Source organism: Homo sapiens, chromosome 1 (assembly GCF_000001405.40).
Source record: "Homo sapiens chromosome 1, GRCh38.p14 Primary Assembly".
Taxonomy (NCBI): domain Eukaryota; kingdom Metazoa; phylum Chordata; class Mammalia; order Primates; family Hominidae; genus Homo; species Homo sapiens.
This window is the reverse complement of record NC_000001.11, coordinates 155,108,384-155,127,830: the sequence shown is the minus strand read 5'-3', so window position 1 is coordinate 155,127,830 and position 19,447 is coordinate 155,108,384. Positions and strand designations below refer to the sequence as shown.

Here is a 19,447-nt window from a genome sequence, read left to right as displayed (position 1 = left end):
ACACCCCGCCCCGCCCTCGCCCCGCCCGGCGCGCGGCTGCCTGGGGGCTTGGGGGCTGGGGAGGTGGAGGAGGGGCGGGGTGGGGAGGCGAGGAGGCTGGGGGTGCAGGAAAGAGCGAAGCGCGCTCCTCTGCCCCCGCAGATCTGCTCAGAGATGTGTGTTCGCTCACTTGTGGGTCTGCGTGGAGCTTTGTGAGCCTGTCCCGGTGGTGGGCTTGCGTCCCTGGGCGCAGTCGCGTGCGGGAGAAGGGAAGAACTCGCAAGTGCGAGTCTGCGAACGCGGGGGTGCGGGACACGGCTTTGCTGCTCCGCGCGCGGACCTTGCAGGGTGCGAGGTTGTTGACATGCCCCGCACCTTTCTGAGCCTCGCATGCCCAGGCTCGGGCGCCCGCGTTCCCACACTCTCCTCCTCCCCCATCCCCTTCCCGGACTCTGCGCTTGACTGCCCCTCCCCACACACACGCGGCTGTTTGTTTTTGTTGGGTTTGTCAATGTTGTCTTTGTTCTGGAGATTGTGTCATCGCCTAGATGCCGGGAATAAAGTGCAACGCTTTGTGTGATCGAGTGTGTAACGTGTGCGGCCGGGGCTAAGGACGCCTCTGTCCATCACATCAGTGCCTGCCCGCAGGAGCGACACGCGGGACCCTGGGCTCGAGAGGGGGCCGTTCTTATTTTAGATAAGTCAAAGAGCGCTAATAACCTGAGTATATGTAACAACACACGCGTACACCGTGCGAACAGGCTCTTGAATATGGACTGTGAGAATCTGGGCATGAAGGGTGACAAACTGTAACCACACATGAAATACGTGTGATGGCGCGCTAGCATGAAAGCATTTGTGAGTAGTATCACAGCCGCGTGTGTGGAAGCGTGTGAAACTCTTTGACAGACGTATGCTAATGTTTGTGAACAGCGTGTGAAGAGGAGGGGAGACGCGTACCGGCGTGCAGCGGGGGTGGGGTGGAACGGAGGGGCGTTTGTGCGCAGTCCTCAGGCTGCACAGCTGGAGCTGGCCCAGTCTGAGCTGGGGCTCCCAGTCAGTCGGGCCCCAGTACCCGGCTCAGGCCCCCTCCCCCGCGCTGTGTAAACAAACCCACTGGAATTTGCCTCTCGGGGCTCTTCTCCCCGCCTGGATCTGCTGCCGTCTGGAGAGGGCTTGGCGGGCGGGTGTCAGCTCCTGGGGTGGAGAGGGCGGGCAGGTGTTTGATTAGGCTCACGAGTGAGCCTGGAGTGGGAGAGCCGAATGCTGTGTGTCTGCGTGCGTTTGGTGGTTTACGTGTGTGGTTGTGTGGCTGTGTGCGCGCCAGGTTGGTGTTGTGAGTGTGTGTGCGCATCCTCAGCCGGCCCTTCCCTGCGGCTGCGCATCGCGGGAAGCCACGGACCCGGGGCCCCTGGCCAGCTCCGGCCCAGCTTCTCCAGTTCCCAGGCCGTTTCATCCTCCTATTTTACGGCCAGGCCTGGCTACAGCCCCTGTAATTACGCGGGGCCCGGACGCCGCAGCAAGTCTGGCGCTGACCCCGCCGGGGAGGAGCCTGGAGCTGGGGAGGGCCCAGCCGGCTCCCCACTGCACCACCACGTGCGCTGAGGCCGCTGGAGGCCGTATTCGCTGCGTTTACAATAAACATAGAGTACCAACGGCCTCTAACCCCGTGGCCGGGTCAGGGCCGGGTTTTGCGCACGGCCAGCGCCACCCCCCTCTCCCTCGGGCACCTGCCCCAGGCGACGTGCCCAGCCAAGCGTTTGTCCGAGGTGCGGCCCGCTCCTCTCGCCCAGGACGAAGTCCACCCGCCGACTGCTCCCAGGGCGGCACCTCACGCGCCTTTTGCTCACCTAGGAGGACACCTGGGTGTCGACCTCCCACGTGGCCCCGGCGAGAGTACTGCCTCCCAGTTCGGGCATTCCATAGAGTCAAAGCTCCAGGAGGACATGGGTTTTTGTTTTGTTCATTATCTTACTGCCAGCACCTGGCACAGCATCTAGCACATACAGTAGATGGTCAGTAAATATCTGTGGAGTGAGTGAAATCACTCACTGTTCAGTGAAGGAACTTAACTTCTGCTGGACATAACTGTTCTGAAAAGGAGCCAGCAGGGGGGTTGAAGAGGGGAGGGATGCTGGTAGCTCTTTAGAGCAGGTGGCCCGGGTTGCCTCCTGGAGGAGACAGCTTTGGGCCGGATTCCCTGGTTTCTCTGACCACTGGGACTGGGCGGGGACGTGTGAAGTCCCACGCTGCAGCTGCTTGGGCCAGGCAGGTTCGGGCTCGCTGGGCCCAGTCTGGCGGGGCCACGTCAGCTCTTGCCTGCGTCTAGGTCTGGAGCAAGCTGGGTGCAGAAGCGTGCATGGAAATTCTGCGCACCGACAGGACCCGGAGCCCTCTTTCCCTGCTTTGGTGCTGTCCCCAGTATTCTCATCTCACTTAGGGCATTGATCCCATCACTCTCTATCCACTCCCCTATCCATATGGGGGTCGATCATCCACCCTACTGGAGCAGCCCTAGACACTGAGTGTTGTGATGAGCTGGGTGTTGCGATGGGCACCGAGAGTGTAAGGATGGGTTTAAGATAAAATCACTACCTTGGGGAGCCCCCAGGCCGGTAGGGGATATTGACAAGCCACCAGGACAGCAAACTTGCTAAGTGCTCAAGCCCAGACTGCGGCCCTACCACTCACAGTCACACTACCCTGACCCTTCCTGGAGCCCCTGCAATGCCTGCTGTGCTGAGAGGAGAGTTGCAGGGCACTGTGCCATTCAGACAGAGATAATAGTAGGGACTTCTGTTCCTGGAGACTCGATCTGCTGACCAACTCTGGGGCCCCCTCCCAGTCCCTTCCTCATGCCAGCCCCCAGCCTGCCCGGGTGGGTCTGCTCTCCATTCTTGCTTCGTGCTGCCTCTCGCCGCAAAATTGTGTGCTTGTGTTGGCTCCCAGCACGTCACCCGCAGGCAAACATCTGCGCTTAGTGACGAGAGCTGCCTGAGGTGTCTGTCTGTCTGCCTGTCTGCATGTCTAGGAAATTCCTCCATGAGTCCTTTCTGGAAATTCCTGGGAGGGCAGGAATTTCCTCAGAGGAAATTCCTCTGAGGTCTTGGGGTAGGCCCTGGCTGCCTGGAGGCAGCATTTCCAGTTGGGAACAGGTGCAGGTACTGGATTGCGACTCCTTTGCTGGGTGCCCTGCAGTTTGGGGAGGGGAAGGCCAGAGCTGCAGGGCCCTGGGGCAAGTGAAACCTGGCTCAGCCCCAGGGGTCATCTCTGGGCAATGGGGTGAGGCAGCAGGGGGAGGAGCAGAACCTGGGCTGAGAGCAATCTCTGTCGTACTCCCTCAAGGTCATTTTGAAACATAAAGTATACCCTTCCCCACTTTATTAGTAATGTGCACACATTTTTCAGAAGTTGGAAAATAGGCCGGGCACGGTGGCTCACGCCTGTAATTCCAGCACTTTGGGAGGCTGAGGCGGGTGAATCACTTGAGGTCAGGAGTTTGAGACCAGCCTGGCCAACATGGTGAAACCCCATCTCTCCTAAAAATACAAAAATTAGCTGGGTGTAGTCGTGGGTGCCTGTAATCCCAGCTACTTGGGAGGCTGAGGCAGGAGAATCACTTGAATCTGGGAGGTGGAAGTTGCAGTGAGCTGAGATCGCACCACTGTACTCTAGCGTGGGTAACAGAGTGACACTCCATCTCAAAAAAAAAAAAAGTTGGAAAATAGAGAACAGGAGGATAAGGGGAGGGGAGGACCACCGGCTGCTGTTAACATTGGCCTCCCTGCCCTGCCAGCTTTTTGCTGGGGAAGAGATTTTGCTTGCTTTTAGACAATGTGATAAACATGACTCATTTCAATTGTGTGCTTCTTTTTTTCCCTTTACAACAGAAGACATTTTCCATGTTATAAACCCTTTGTAAACAATGTTTTAAAGGGAGTGTAATGCTTCATTACGTGAGTATTTCAGAGTTTGCCATTGCAATGAAAGCAGGACAGAAATAAACATATCCATGCACATTCAGACATCCCTCAGTTGCTGAGCAGTTGGGTGGATTGGCTCTTAGAATTTAGGACTATTGGCCGGGCATGGTGGCTCACACCTCTAATCCCAGCCCTTTGGGAGGCTGAGGCGGACAGATCACGAGGTCAGGAGTTTGAGACCAGCTTGACCAACATGGTGAAACTCCGTCTCTACTAAAAATACAAAAATTATCCAGGCATGGTGGCACACACCTGTAATCCCAGCTACCCAGGAGGCTGAGGCAGGAGAATCACTTGAACCCGGGAGGCAGAGGTTGCAGTGACCCGAGATCGTGCCACTGCACTGCACTCCAGCCTGGGCGACAGAACAAGACTCTCAAAAAAAAAAAAAAAAAAAAAGAAAAAGAAAAAGAACTTAGGACTATTGGGAGGCTGACCTGGGAGGATCGTGTAAGACCAGGAGTTAGAAATTAGCCTGGGTGACATTTTGAGAACCCGTCTGTACACAAAATAATAATAATAATAATAATAAGTTAGCTGGGGTACATAGTGCATGCTACTCTGGAGGCTGAGGCAGGAGGATCACTTGAGTCCAGGAGTTGAGGTTACAGTGAGCTGTGACTATGCCTCTACACTGCAGCCTGGGTGACAGAGCTAGACAGTCTCTAAAAAAGAACTTAGAAATAACCTTGCAATTGCCAGGTGCAGTGGCTCACGCCTGTAATCCCAGAACTTTGGGAGGCTGAGGCGGGTGGATCACCTGAGGTCAGGAGTTCGAGATCAGCCTGGACAACAAGGTGAAACCCCGTCTCTACAAAAAATACAAAATTAGCCGGGCAGGGTGGCACATGCTTGTAATCTCAGCTACTCAGGAGGCTGAGGCATGAGAATCGCTTGAACCTGGGAAGCAGAGGATATGGTGAGCCGAGATAGTGCCATTGCACTCCAGCCTGGGCAACAAGAGCAAATCTCCGTCTCACGAAAAAAAAAAAAAAAAAGAACCCTGCAATTGACTTAACAACAAACACTTATGGAGCACCTACTATGGACCGGCTTACATTTGGGCTTACAGATGTGTGAAAAAGCTTTTGATATTGCCAAACCAAAGCCAGATCTTTTGATACTAGTCCAGTTATCTTCTTGAGAATCGAGGTGACTATAACTAAAAGATCTGTTTCTACTTAATTATCTATGGGCTACAGAGTAATTTCAAAATCCTTCAGCGTGGCATTTAAGGCCTTTGGCAACATGGCCCCCACACCACCTCTGTCTCATCTCCTGCCACTCCCCTGGACATATTCTATAAAATTTCCTCCCCACATCCCACTCAGAAGGGGGCCAGACTCTGTGAGGGAAGGTGGAATTCTCCCCAGAAGTCCACTGCAGGGAAGAGGAAATTGGATAGGATGGGAGAGTGGGAGGGAGATGAGAGAGGCAGAAGCTCAGAAGGATGGGACTCAGGTTCCTGCACAGAAAGCAGCAGAAGGTGGTTTATTTTTATTTATTTATTCATTTTTTTGAGAAGGAGTCTCACTCTGTCGCCCAGGCTGAGTGCAGTGGTGCAATCTAGGCTCACTGCAACCTCTGCCTCCTGGGTTCAAGTGATTATTTTGTCCCAGCCTCCTGAGTAGCTGGGATTACAGGCGCACGCCACCATGCCCAGCTAATTTTTGTATTTTTAGTAGAGACAGGGTTTTGCCATGTTGGCCAGCTGGTCTTGAACTCCCAACCTCAGGTGATCAACCCGCCTCGGCCTCCCAAAGTGCTGGGATTACAGGCATGAGCCATTGTGCCCGGCCAGAAGATGCTTTATATTGGGGCCTTTTCCACCAGAAATTTACTAATCATTTAAGCCAAACACTACACTGGGAGGCACTAGGGACTCTGAAATACATCCTTGTCCTAAAGAATGTATAATTCTGGGGCTGGACGCGGTGCCTCATGCCTGTAATCCCAGCACTTTGGGAGGCCGAGGTGGATCACGAGGTCAGGAGTTCAAGACCAGCCTGGCCAACATGGTGAAACCCCCATCTCTACTAAAAATACAAAAATTAGCCGGGCATGGCGGTGCGCACCTGTTGTCCCAGCTACTCAGGAGGCTGAGGCAGAGAATTGCTTGAACCTGGGAGGCAGAGGTTGCAGTGAGCCAAGATCGTGCCACTGCACTCCAGCCTGGGTGACAGAGCGAGACTCCATCTCAAAAACAAAAAAAAAAGAAGGTATAATTCTGGCAAATGTATAATTAGAATACATGATAAGAAGTATAATAGAGGTATAAGTAGTATAACAAGCTGTAGACTCACAGAGGAAGGAATGTTTATCTGGGGTGGGGAGTGCTTCATAGAAGAGAGTCTATTTGAAATGGGCTTTGGAGAATAAGTAGGCATTCCCATTCAGGGAGGAGGGAACAAAGAACGCAGGTAGAGAGGTGAGAGCTTGTTCAGTGAATACTCTGGCTCAGCTCTCTGTCCTCTGCTCCCCTGACTGTTGCTACTGGAGGAGATGGGGGGAGCAGAGGAGTGGCAGAGGAGGTGGGGAGCAGAGGACAGAGATAGGTGAGAGCTGAGCCATGAGCATGAGTCTGGGAGAAGTCCGGGGTGGCTTGGTGGGCAGGAGTGCTCCTTATCGATAGGAAACGCACGGGAGGAACAGGCCTAGGAAGGACGAATGGAGAGTTCAGTTTGGGACATTATATAAATTTCTGGCTGCAAATAACAGAATACCAGCTACTCGAAGTTTAAGTAAAGGGCTTACTTTCCCCCCATAACAAGCAGTCTGGAAGTGAGACAGGAACTCAACAGTGTCACCGAAGTTCCAGTGCTTCCCCACGCCCTGCTGTCCTCAGGACCATGGTCACAAGATGGCTGCTTCAGCCAGAGAGCTCCATTCAAGCTACAGGAGCCCCAAGAAGAAGGAGTGGGAGCAAAGCGGTCCTATCCTCCCATGGTGCTCTCCCTCTCTCTTTTTTTTTTTTGAGTCGGAGTCTTGCCCTGTTGCCGAGGCTGGAGTGCAGTGGCGTGATCTCGGCTCACTGCAACCTCCAACTCCTGGGTTCAAGCAATTCTCCCGCCTCAGCCTCCTGAGTAGCTGGGATTACAGGCGCACGCTACCAAGCCCAGGTAATTTTTTTGTGTTTTTAATAGAGACTGGGTTTCACTGTGTTGGTCAGGCTGGTCTCGAACTCCTGATCTCGTGATCCGCCCACCTTGGCCTCCCAAAGTACTGGGATTACAGGCGTGAGCCACGGCGCCCGGAACCCCTCTCCCTTTTTAAAGCCTAGTCAAATGCAGCTGTGAGAAGGGAGAAAAGAGTAGAGCAGGGAGTTCAATCTGTAACTGACTGTGAACAATTGAGATAACTCACTACCTTCTGACCAGCCCAAGGCTCTCTTTTTATCTGGGACCAGCCCAAGGCTCTCTTTTTATCTGGGAAGAAAATCTTTTCTAGCAACTTCCCAGACAAGGAACAGAACCAGTTCGTGTGTCCACATGTCCGTTGCTACACCCATATCTACAAAGGAGAAGGGAGTGCTCTGACTGGGGCTGGGGCAGGGACCTATCCACCCCTGAATCTGTTCTGCTTCCCAAAGACACTGGAGTTCTATCAGCCTAGAAGCAGGGATTACATGGCTTTTGGGTAAGCAGTGAATAGTATCTGCTGCAGACATGTTGCATTTGAGAAACCAGTGGAACTTCTAGAATGAGGAGTCCCAGGGGCGGTTGGAGGTGAGGGTCTGGAGCTCAGGAAGGTGAGAAGCTCAGAACAATTGTTGCTTGTGAACTCTGAGGCTCATGGGAAGGGTTTCTCCTAGACTGCAATGCTTCAGGCAGGGGAGAAGAGCAAAGAGACATAGGGCCAGGAATCCCTTCCTTGTGATTTTGGCTGGGGAGAAATCTGTCCTTTCCAGCTCCTCAACTTTGGCATCCAGGGTGGGAAAGCTGGGTGAGGGACTGGCAGGAGGACATTCACTCTTGGTACAGCCGATAAACCTCTTTTCCACCCCTGGCTAAAATTTTTCACTATAACACAGTATATAAGACCAGGAGTTAGATACTTTTATTTCAGAAGCATTACTTTTATATAATTTTTTTCTCTTTTTCTTTTTTTTGAGACAGAGTCTCACTCTGTCGCCCAGGCTTGAGTGCAGTGGCGTGATCTCGGCTCACTGCAAGCTCTGCCTCCCATGTACACACCATTCTCCTGCCTCAGCCTCCTGAGTAGCTGGGACTACAGGTGCCCACCACCATGCCCAGTTAATTTTTTTTTGTATTTTTAGTAGAGTTGGGGTTTCACCATGTTAGCCAGGATGGTCTCGATCTCCTGACCTTGTGATCCACCCCCCCTCGGCCACCCAAAGTGCTGATATTACAGGTGTGAGCCACCACTCCCGGCCTCTCTTTTTCTTTCTTTTTTTTTTTTTTTCTGAGACAAGGTCTTTCTCTGTCACTCAGGCTGGAGTGCAGTAGCCAGATCTTGGCTCATTGCAGCCTCAACCTCCTGGGCTCAAGCAATCCTCCCATCTCAGCCTCCAGAATAGCAGGGATTACAGGCGTGCACCACCACACCCTGCTAATTTTTGGATTTTTAGTAGAGATGTGGTCTTACCATGTTGGCCAGGCTGGTCTCAAACTGCTGTCTTAAGTGATCTGCCCACCTTGGCCTCCTAAAGTGCTGGGATTACAGGCATGAACCACTGTGCTCTGCCTTTTTTTTTCTAATTCCAGAAGGAATACATGATTAGTGCAGAAAACGTAGAGAAACACAAATGCAGAGAGAAAAAAATCACCCATAGAAGTTAAGGCTCAGGAACATGCACATTTCTTTATTCTTTTCCCATGGCTCTGTAAGTTTTATGGTCAATATCTTTGAGAAGTTATAGTTTAATGCCTATGTTACAACCAACTTGGAATCCCTTACATTTGTGTAACATTTTATTACAGTCCAGTGTTTTCAGTTGTACATTTTATCACATACTATTTCCTTTTTATAGACTCCTACACATTGCGAGGTGGGCAAAGGCAGGAATTATGTCCCCACTGACCAGGTGAAAAAACTAAGGCTCCGAAAGGTGATGGTATTCAGAACTCAGATGGGGAGCCAGGCGCAGTGGCTCATGCCTGCAATCCCGGCACGTTGGGAGGCTGACGTGGGCAAACTTGAGTTCAGGAATTCGAGACCAGCCTGGGTAATGTGGTGAAACCCCATCTCTCTCTCTCTCTCTCTTTTTTTTTTTTTTCTTGGAGACTGAGTCTCACTCTCACTCTCAGTGTGCATTTCCCCTCGCATGGTTCCCGCACAGGCCAACAGGGGCAAGCCCAGGAAGTAGAGGCTACAGTGAACCGAGATGGCATCACTGTGCTCCAGCCTGGGCAACAGAGCGAGACCCTCTCTCAAAACTCAAAAAAAAAAAAAAAAAAAAAAAGGCCAGGTGAGGTGGTTCACTCCTGTAATCCTAGCACTTTAGGAGGCCGGGTGGGCAGATCACCTGAGGTCAGGAGTTTCAGACCAACCTGGCCAACATAGTGAAACCCCAGCTCTACTAAAAATACAAAAATTAGTTGGGCGTGGTGGCGCGTGTCTGTGGTCCCAGCTACTACTCAGGAGGCTGAGTCAGGAGAATATGGCTTGAACCCGGGAGGTGGAGGTTGCAGTGAGCCAAGATTGCACCACTGCACTCCAACCTGGGCGACAGAGCAAGACTCAGTCTCAAAAAAAAAAAAGAACTCAGGTGGGGTACATTTGATGGGGCTTGGATCTACACCATGCTATTCCTTCTACGCCCCACTTGCCTGGCTCTCCTGGGGATAAAGGAGATATGGCACCAAGTGCTATATCTGTATCTGCTGGGAGCAAATGGGGGGAGTCAGTAGAGAAGGTAAAGGAAAGAGCTAGAGAGGGGGCTGGGTGTGGGACAGTCTCAGAGGGAACCTGAGGCGGTTTGTGGGACAGGCTCTGAGATGCAGTCCCCCAGGGCTTAAGCTCACCCTGGCCCGTCCCTGCAGGCAGGTGGGAGATGGCCAGATAATGGACAGCTCATTTGTTTGTATAACAGGTGCTCTGCCTAAGTGCCGCAAGCCACATCCAATAAAGGCAGCTGGTGAACAGGGAGACAGTGCAGAGAGGGGTGGGGTCGGGGGCCCAGCTGTGGAAACTTGGGAAAGTTACCTAACCTCTCTGAGCCTCACCTTTTCTTCATCATAAAATGGGGTCAAGACTACTTTCTCTATGCAATTATTATTATTATTATTATTATTATTATTATTATTATTATTAATTTATTTACTTTGAGATGGAGTTTTACTCTTATTGCCCAGGCTGGAGTGCAATGGCGCGATCTCAGCTCACCGCAACCTCCGCCTCCCGGGTTCAAGTGATTCTCCTGCCTCAGCCTCCGGAGTAGCTGGGATTACAGATGCCTGCCACCACGCCCCATTAATTTTTTTTTTTTTTTTTTTTGAGACAGAGTCTGACTGTCACCCAGGCTGGAGTGCAGTGGTGTGATCTCGGCTCACTGTAAGCTCTGCCTCCAGGGTTCATGCCATTCTCTTGCCTCTGCCTCCCAAGCAGCTGGGACTACAGGTGCCCGCCACAATGCCCAGCTAATTTTTTTTTTTTTTTTGTATTTTTAGTAGAGATGGGGTTTCACTGTGTTAGCCAGGATGGTCTCGATCTCCTGACCTCGTGACCCGCCCGACTCAGCCTCCCAAAGTGCTGGGATTACAGGCGTGAGCCATTGCGCCTGGCCTCCATGCAATTATTGCAGGGATCGAATGAAATAATAGATGTGCGGGCCTGGCACTTAGCCTGGGGAGTGGGTTGTGCATAAGCACGGGGTGAATTTCCCCTCGCATGGTTCCCGCACAGGCAGAAGGGGGCAAACGTGCTGATAGTGAGGGTAAGGATACAGGGAAGTGGGGAGGAGTCCCAGGATCACGAATGGGATGGGTATGTGGTAAATGCCCTAGGATGAGGTGGCCAAGAGTGCTGAGGTTCTGTGAGGGCAGAGTGATGAGTGGGGGAAGTGACTTTTGAGGGTTCTCGGGTGAGGTTGGTGGGCAAGGGCATTCCATGCCCAAAGGAATCCTATGGGCCACACTGCCCTGCCCCTGCATGGGCGAGGGGAAGGTGACAGGGAAGATCTGTCCCCCAGAGCTCCTTCTTCCCTCCTTCCTGGTCCTTTTTCCTCCCCTGGCTCCACTGTAGTCTCCCCCACCCTCCCCTGCTCTCCTTCTTCCTCTTGGCTCTGGCATCATCAAGTCCTCCAACCTTGGCCGGGCACTGTTTGGTCTGAGTTTCGTCTTAAACAGGAGTAGGACTTGATTAAGTAATGGTGGGGGGAGGGTACAAAAAGCACTGAAGAGACAGAGTTTGGGCAGGGGGAATAGGGAGGAGGCCAGGAACCACCCAGAGAGGTAGGGCAGGAGAAAACAGATAGCTGGAATGCCAGGTGGAAAGCAGTAAATTCCTTGGGGGTGGCACACCGCACTGTGGCACTCAAAAAAGAGCTCCTCTCCTGGCACAAATCCCCATGTCTGGGGAGGTGTTGGGCGTCCTAGGGGAGGTCCTTTGGAGACTGGGCTTATCAGGAAATTGGTTTTAAATGGGCTGAGGGCATACCAGATTGGGCTGGAGAAGGGCTCTTGGGCAAACCCAGGTTGGCTTCAGAAGCAAGCTGAGGGGGTTGTATTTAATTGGGAAGTTGCCCTGGGAATAGTCACAGCATCAGCTCATGTTTATAGAACATGTTCCTTATTCCAGGCTCATTTGAAGCACTTTGTGTACATTAATGCACTTAATCTTCACAGTCACCATAAGAGGTAGGTAGAATTATTATCTTTATTTTATTTTATTTTATTTTATTTTTTTGAGATAGGATCTCACTTTGTCGCCCAGGCTGGAGTGCAGTGGCACCATCATAGCTCACTACAGCCTCGACCTCCTGGTTCAAGTGAGCCTTTCCCTCAGCCTCTTGAGTAGCTTTGACTGCAGGTGCACGCCACCACCACCCACCTAATTTTCGTATTTTTAGTAGAGACGGGTTTTCCTCATGTTGGCCAGGCTGGTCTCGAACTCCTGACCTTAAGTGATCCACCTGTCTCAGCCTCCCAGTGTACTGGGATTACAGGTGTGAGCCACCATACCCGGCCTATAGAGCTGTTCTCTTTCTTCTGGGATGACTGAGGTGATGAGATGGCAGTCGAAGACTATATTTTGCCTCCCTGACAAATACACTTGGCCTCCCTGCAGGCATTGCATTTGCAAGCCAGTTCTTCATCCTCACACATGACAATTCCAGGGCCTTAAATCCCAATCCCATGTTCTCTCTCCACTTCTCTATCTCAAAGCACTATTCCCAGGCTCTAATTTACAACTTCTCAATCCATTTTTCACCATGTTGGCCAGGGTGGTCTCGAACCCCTGACCTTAAGTGATCTGCCCACCTCGGCCTCCCAAAGTGCTGGGATTACAGGTGTGAGCACTTTAAATTTAACTTGCTGAAATAGAGCTCCTTGTCATTTCTTCAAAACACAGGTCTGCTCCTGATTTCCTTGGCTTGTTTATGGTTTGAGTGGGATCACCCCATCTCCCAGGTGCCGTAGCGGGCAATATCCTGAGACTGGCCAGTCCCAGCACAGCAGCCCCAGGCCACAGGGATTGGTTTGGGAAAGGGAATGTAGTCTAAGACAGGATAAACGGGAATCTCCAAAAAAATTGAGGGGAATGGAAGCTGGGCAAGCAAACAGGCAGATTTAACTAGAAGAGCCTGGTAGCTTGAGGTTGCAGAAAGGAGGGAAGGATGTTTTTAAGGGATGGGGAAACCCAGGCCCAGTTGTTGATAAAGAGGAAAGAATTCATGAGAGTCTATGCCCAGATTAACTGCCACTTCCCCAGGCCTCACCTAGGTGAAAAGCTTAGTACTCAGGAGGCTGAGGCGGGAGGGTCCACTAGAGACCAGGGGTCTGAGTGCACTCCAGCCTGGGCAACAGAGTGAGGGCCCTGTCTTTATTTATTTATTTTTTTTTTTGAGACAGAGTCTTGCTCTTGTTGCTCAGGCTGGAGTGCCGTGGCGGGATCTCGGCTCACTGCAACCTCTACTTCCCGGGTTCAAGTGATTCTCCTACCTCAGCCTCCCAAGTAGGTGGGTTTACAGGCGTCTGCCACCACGCCCATATAATTTTTGTATTCTTAGTAGAGATGGGGTTTCACCTTGCTGGCCATGCTGGTCTCGAACACCTGATTTCAAGTGATCCACCCGCCTCAGCCTCCCAAAATGCTGGGATTACAGATGTGAGCCACTGCACCTGGCCTCAAGAGCCTGTCTTTAAAAAGAAAAAAAAAAAAAGTTTGGGCTTTGGAGAGAGATTGCAAAGATTTGAATCCCAGCTCCATCACTTATTTGGATATGACCCTGGGCCAATCACATCTGTGCCTGTTTCCTAATTTATGAAATAAGGATGATAATAATAGTGCCCACCCTTTGGATCATGATGAGGATGAAATGAGATAATGTATGTAAAGTACTTAGAACGGCTGGCCTGTTTGGCATATAGAAAAACCTCAGGATTAATATTAATATTGTTATTATTTTTTTCTTTTTTGAAATGGAGTCTTGCTCTGTCACCCAGGCTGGAGTGCAATACTGCAATCTTGGCTCACTGCAACCTCCACCTCCTGGGTTCAAGTGTTTCTCCTGCCTCAGTCTCCTGAGTAGCTGGGATTACAGGCATGCACCACCACGCCTGGCTAATTTTTGTATTTTTAGTAGAGACGGGGTTTCACCATGTTGGTCAGGTTGGTCTTGAATTCCTGACCTTGTGATCCACCCATCTCGGCCTCCCAAAGTGCTGAAATTACAGGTGTGAGCCACCATGCCCAGCCAGGATTAGTATTATGACAGCAATTATTAGGATTTTTATTGTAGAAGGCTCACAGTGACAGTAACAAGTTTTAAGCCAACTGGCTCCTGCTTCTGCTTGCTGACATAGGACCTCCAGCCCCTTGCAAAGTCCCTCTGAAATATCACTGATGGTCCCCCTAGGGCATTTCACATGGGCTCAGAAACATGTTTGGGCTGGCTGAGTGCTGCAGCTGTTCTGGAGGGCTCAGTGTTTTCCTGCTGGTGGGGGTTGGGGCACTGGAAATCTCTCCTCTCCCTTGTCACCTCTGTTGGGGGTTCCCAAGAAAGGCGGCTTGTGCTTTCATGTGTTACAGATTGGCATGTCTGTTCTTCGATTTTTTTTTTCTTTTTAAGACGGACTCTCACTGTCACCCAGGCTGGAGTGCAGTGGTGAAATCTTGGCTTGCTGCATAGTCTGCCTCCCGGGTTCAAGTGATTCTCTTGCCTCAGCCTCCTGAGTATATGGGATTACAGGCGCATGCTACCATGCCTGGCTAATTTTTGTGTTTTTTTTGTTGTTGTTTTTGTTTGTTTGCTTGTTTTTTGTTGTTGTTGTTTGTTTTTTGTGATGGAATCTTGCTCTGTTGCCAGGATGGAGTGCAGTGGCGTGATCTCGGCTCACTGCAACCTCCGCCTCCTGGGTTCAAGCAATTCTCCTGCCTCAGCCTCCTGAGTAGCTAGGACGACAGGCGCACACCACCACACCCAGCAAATTTTTTGTGCTTTTAGTAGAGACGGGATTTCACCATGTTAGCCAGGATGGTCTTGATCTCCTGACCTCGTGATCTGCCTGCCTCAGCCTCCCAAAGTGTTGGGATTACAGGTGTGAGCCACTGCACACGGCCAATTTTTTGTATTTTAGTAGTGCCAGGGTTTCACCATCTTGGCCAGGATGGTCTCGAACTCCTGACCTCAAGTGATCCACCCACCTTGGCCTCCCAAAGTGCTGGAATTACAGGCATGAGCCACTTCACCTGGCCCAATTTTTTTTTAATCATCTGATTTTTAGATTCATCTTTAATTTTCATTCACAGTCACCTCTATCCACAGGGCCCTGACAGGCTTCCCTGGGGCTGGACTGAGGATGGATCTGCACACTTGCTGCCATGCTATGCTGCAGCGGGATTTCTTTTTTTTTTCTTTTTTCTTTTTTTTTTGAGACAGAGTCTCCCTCTGTTGCCCAGGCTTGAGTGCAGTGGTGCCATCTCAGCTCACTGCAAGCTCCGCCTCCAAGATTCAGGCCATTCTCCTGCCTCAGCCGCCCGAGTAGCTGGGATTACAGGCGCCCCCCACCACGCCCGGCTAATTTTTTGTATTTTTAGTAGAGACGGGGTTTCACCATGTTAGCCAGGATGGTCTCGATCCCCTGACCTCGTGATCCACCCGCCTTGGCCTCCCAAAGTGCTGGGATTACAGGCATGAGCCACCCCGCCCGGCCTGCAGCGGGATTTCTAGTCCTCTGAGGATGAGGGCTTTGCCACAGAGCCATTTGGGAGCTTCCTCAGCCCCTCCCGCAGGCAGCCACGCTCCTGTGAGGTGTTCCTCCTGGCTGTGGCAATTTCCGACTCCAGTGTGCACACAGCCATCACACTCCCCATAGATGGCCTGCCATGGCCCCTCCTGGGACAGCAGCCCAGGCGAGTCCTTCTGCAGAAAGCTTGGGCCAAGCAAAGGACCACCTGCCTAGGGTGAGGGCAGTCAAGGATAAGGGGGCGGGAGCTGAGGACACAGCCGTCAATTTACCACACTAGGTGGGGCTGGGCCCCTTGCACAGGTTAGGGGCGAGTCCTGTCTCCAACTCTGGGCTGTACTTAGTCACTAAATGTGCAGAGCCAGGCCCCCCAGGCCCCACGGCCCTCATCAAATCCATTCATCTGGCTCCTCCCCACACCCTTCCACAGGTCAAGAACACACCCAAGATCTTCCTTCCCTCTGCCTCATCACCATTTTTCTCCTGACAAACCTTTAAAAAAAGAAAAGAAAAAAAAAGGCCAGGCGCGGTGGCTCATGCCTGTAATCCCAGCACTTTGGGAGGCTGAGGTGGGCGGGTCACCTGAACTCAGGAGTTTGAGACTAGCCTGGCCAAAATGGTGAAACCCCGTCTCTACTAAAAATACAGAAAATTAGCTGGGTGTGGTGGCGGGCGCCTGTAATCCCAGTTACTGGGAAGCTGAGGCACAAGAATTGCTCGAACCCCAGAGGCAGAGGTTGCAGTGAGCTGTGATTGCACCACTGCACTCCAGCCTGGGTGACAGAGAGGAAAAAAAAAAAAGAAGAGAAAAATACAACAAACAAACATCAACAGCGGAAGTTAACTGGAGACCCCCGTTTGTGAACCAGTGAAAGGGACAATGGATGAGGAGGCTGGTGTGGTATCCTGAGGGCATCCTGTGGATAAGGCACCAGGCCAGGGGCTGGGGCCCTGAGGTTTCACTCCTCCCAGGTCTAGAGGGGTCCATCCTACCCCTGCTGCCAGAAGAGGGGCCTTTCCTCTGCCCCACAGCACCTGGGTCTAGGAACTGTCTGATTCACCGCCAGGAAACCCTCTCCTTGAGATGTTTCTTCATAGGTCATCCCAGAGCCTGCTAAATGCTTTTGCCCTAGGCTGGCTGTGTGGCTGGTGGTCTGTGGAATGAGGAAAGTGTCTCCTCTCCACTGGCTACTGGGAGAGCATATAAAATAAACATGATTTAAAAAGCCAGTGCCCACAGAAGACACAGACGAAATATTAAAAAATAAAAAAATAAGAAAAATAAAATAAAAATAAACAACCCCCCAGAAACCCCAGGTTCCCAAGCTGGGTGGGATGTGGAGTAAGCCAGTTTGCGGTGACATTTATATAAGGGGCTTGGTTCCTCCCTCAGGCAAGTCAAGCAAGTTGTAAAATTTGAGGGCACATTTTAAAATTGTTTAAAATCCTCCAAATGTGTTTCCTGTCTGGCACGGTGGATGGCGCGTTGGTAATACATGTGCATGTGTGGCCTGGAGGACGTGTTAACGACCAGGTTTAGAGGCAGAGATGCAGAAGAGCCTGCAAGAACCAGGAGCGAGAAAAGGGGTCTGTTGTTGTCATGGTGTGTGTTCCCCGTGTTGGAATGTGTGTAAGGGGCCTCTGGTCCTGTGAGGGTGGTTTAGTCTGGGAAATTAGCATCTTTTTTAAAGCTACTCTATTATAAATCATTAGTTAAAGGCCTTCAGGGCTAATAATACAGGTATGTGGTTTTTACTTCTGAAGCAAGCAGGTGTGATAATATTTGACAACACATCATAATTAGAATAGAGCGACATGCAGTTTGGTAAATTAGATGGTGACGATTAGACCCCCGCACATCGTGGCCTCTACCTTTGCCTAAGCTTTTCCCTCTGCCTGGGACGCCTTTACCAGCTGTCAAATCCTACTCATCCTTCCCAGCCTGGCTCCGTACCATCTCCCCACAGAGCGAATTAATCACTCTCTCTTCTGGGCCCCTGTGACATTTTGTCTTTTACAATGTTTACTTTGTTCTTTCTCTTCTGAAATTTAGCCGAATATGTGTCCCTTCCCCATCACAAGTCCTTTGAGGACCAGAACTGTGTCTTGGCTGTTGTCTTCCCTGCAGTTCTGTGCCCAGTGTGGGATCTTGGTTAATGTTTATTGAATTAAACTTCTTCTTCTTTTTTTAAGGGAATTACTTTGCAGAAAATTTAAAAACCCATATTGACATGGACCCAACTTGGTAAAAGCCATTACACTTAAGGTTTTTTTTTTTTGAGACAGAGTCTTGCTCTGTCACCCAGGCTGGAGTGCAGTGGCACGATCTCGGCTCACTGCAATCTCTGCCTCCTGCGTTCAAGCAATTCTCCTGCCTCAGCCTCCTGAGTAGCTGGGACAACAGGTGCGCACCACCACACCTGGCTAATTTTTTATTTTTAGTAGAGATGGGGTTTCACAATGTTGGCCAGGCTGGTCTCGAACTACTGACCTCAGGTGATCCACCCGCCTCGGCCTCCCAAAGTGCTGTGATTACAGGCGTGAGCCACCGTGCCTGGCCTACACTTAAATATTTTAAAATATTTCATGCTCTGAACTTTGCATCATTTGGAGTATAGATGTAGGCTGGTGCAGTGGCTCCAGCCTGTAATCTCAGCACTTTGAGAGAATCTTTTGAACCCAGAGGTTTAAAACCAGCCTGGGCAACATAGTGATACCACCATCTCTACAGAAAATTTAAAAAATAGCCGGGTGTGGTGGTGCGGGCCTGTAGTCCCAGCTGCTTGGGAGGCTGAGGTAGGGGGATCACTTGAGCCCTGGAGGTTGAGGCTGCAGTGAGCCAAGGTCATGCCACGGCACTCCAGCCTCAGTTACAGAGCGAGACCCTGTCTAAAAACAGACAGACAAACAAACAATCACCAAAATAGAGTACAGAATTAATTGTGTTGAATTTAGAACTGATGGAATTCAAAATATAATTTGAAGAAAATATGGGTTTATTTTGTTGTTATGATACATAATGTCTATCTTGCAAGAAAATCTTTTGTTTGGCGATAGCATTTATAAGGGGTAAGAAAACCTGTGGCAAATTTGTCTTTACTATGAAATTTGCTGGCACTTGATTGATGAGGATGGTGCCACTCCAGCCACTGGGCATTATTCTCTGCAGTGGCTTCTGGGCTGGGTATCATGGAACACAAGACTGAGCATGGAAGGAACACGATTCGTATGAATAATTCAAAGGCACCCAAAATGCTGCTTCGTTAAGTGGGAATGTTAAAGGGGGTGGCAATCTGTAAGTTTAGCTGTTGTGTTCAGCTTTTGAAAATGAGAAAGAAAGAAGAAAAAAAGAAAAGAAAAGAGAGAGGCCGGGTGCGGTGGCTCATGCCTGTAATCCCAGCACTTTGGGAGGCCGAGGCAGGTTGATCACCTAAGGTCAGGAGTTCGAGACCAGCCTGACCAACATGGTGAAACCCTGTCTCTACTAAAAATACAAAATTAGTTGGGTGTGGTTGTAGGTGCCTGTAATCCCAGCTACTTGGGAGGCTGAGTCAAGAGAATTGCTTGAACCTGGGAGGTAGAGGTTGCAGTGAGCCAAGGTTGCACCATTGCATTCCAGCCTGGGTGACAGAGCAAGACTCCATCAGAAAAAAAGAAGAAAGAGAGAAGGGAGGAAGGGAGGGAGGGAGGAAGGAAGGGAGGGAGGGAGGAAGGAAGGGAGGGAGGGAGGGAGGGAGGAAGGAAGGCAAGAAGGAAGGAAGGGGAGAGAAAGAAAGAGACCTTGTAGAACCTTAGTGTTAAATAGTGAGCCTGTATTGGAACAACACTGAGGCAGGTGCCTGCTGAGCTCTAACATGAAGGTGGGCATTCATGCCCTTTTGCTTTGCTTCCCTGTTGCCCCCAGGATGTGGTACATGGGAAGAAACAGGTGCTTAGGGACCAGGCAGACCTAGGGTTTAAATAGTAACCAGCAATGGTCTTGAGTCTCAGTTCCCTCGTCTGTAAAGTGAAAAGAATAATAAATACCTCACAGGGATTTGTGACACTTGTAAACTGCCCGGTACAGCACCTGGCAGATGTAAGTGCACAGGCATGTTAGCTCTCCCACTCAGCCTG

At 50.8% G+C, this 19,447-nt stretch overlaps 5 annotated features.

Moving 5' to 3' along the window:
• Window positions 5-64: a silencer, noted in NCBI's record as "silent region_1393". NCBI's record gives its function as "represses an Ori minimal core promoter by ATAC-STARR-seq in GM12878 lymphoblastoid cells {active_cell/tissue: GM12878}" and the evidence as "EXISTENCE:reporter gene assay evidence [ECO:0000049][PMID:35858748]".
• Window positions 1,261-2,100: an enhancer, noted in NCBI's record as "H3K27ac-H3K4me1 hESC enhancer chr1:155098207-155099046 (GRCh37/hg19 assembly coordinates)". NCBI's record gives its function as "activates a minimal SCP1, AML or CMV promoter by ChIP-STARR-seq in naive H9 embryonic stem cells {active_cell/tissue: H9 hESC(naive)}" and the evidence as "EXISTENCE:reporter gene assay evidence [ECO:0000049][PMID:30033119]".
• Window positions 2,101-2,940: an enhancer, noted in NCBI's record as "H3K27ac-H3K4me1 hESC enhancer chr1:155097367-155098206 (GRCh37/hg19 assembly coordinates)". NCBI's record gives its function as "activates a minimal SCP1, AML or CMV promoter by ChIP-STARR-seq in naive H9 embryonic stem cells {active_cell/tissue: H9 hESC(naive)}" and the evidence as "EXISTENCE:reporter gene assay evidence [ECO:0000049][PMID:30033119]".
• Window positions 2,101-3,138: a biological region, named in NCBI's record as "Sharpr-MPRA regulatory region 6409".
• Window positions 2,844-3,138: a silencer, noted in NCBI's record as "tiled region #6409; K562 Repressive non-DNase unmatched - State 7:EnhWF". NCBI's record gives its function as "represses a minimal TATA promoter and a strong SV40 promoter by Sharpr-MPRA in K562 cells {active_cell/tissue: K562}" and the evidence as "EXISTENCE:reporter gene assay evidence [ECO:0000049][PMID:27701403]".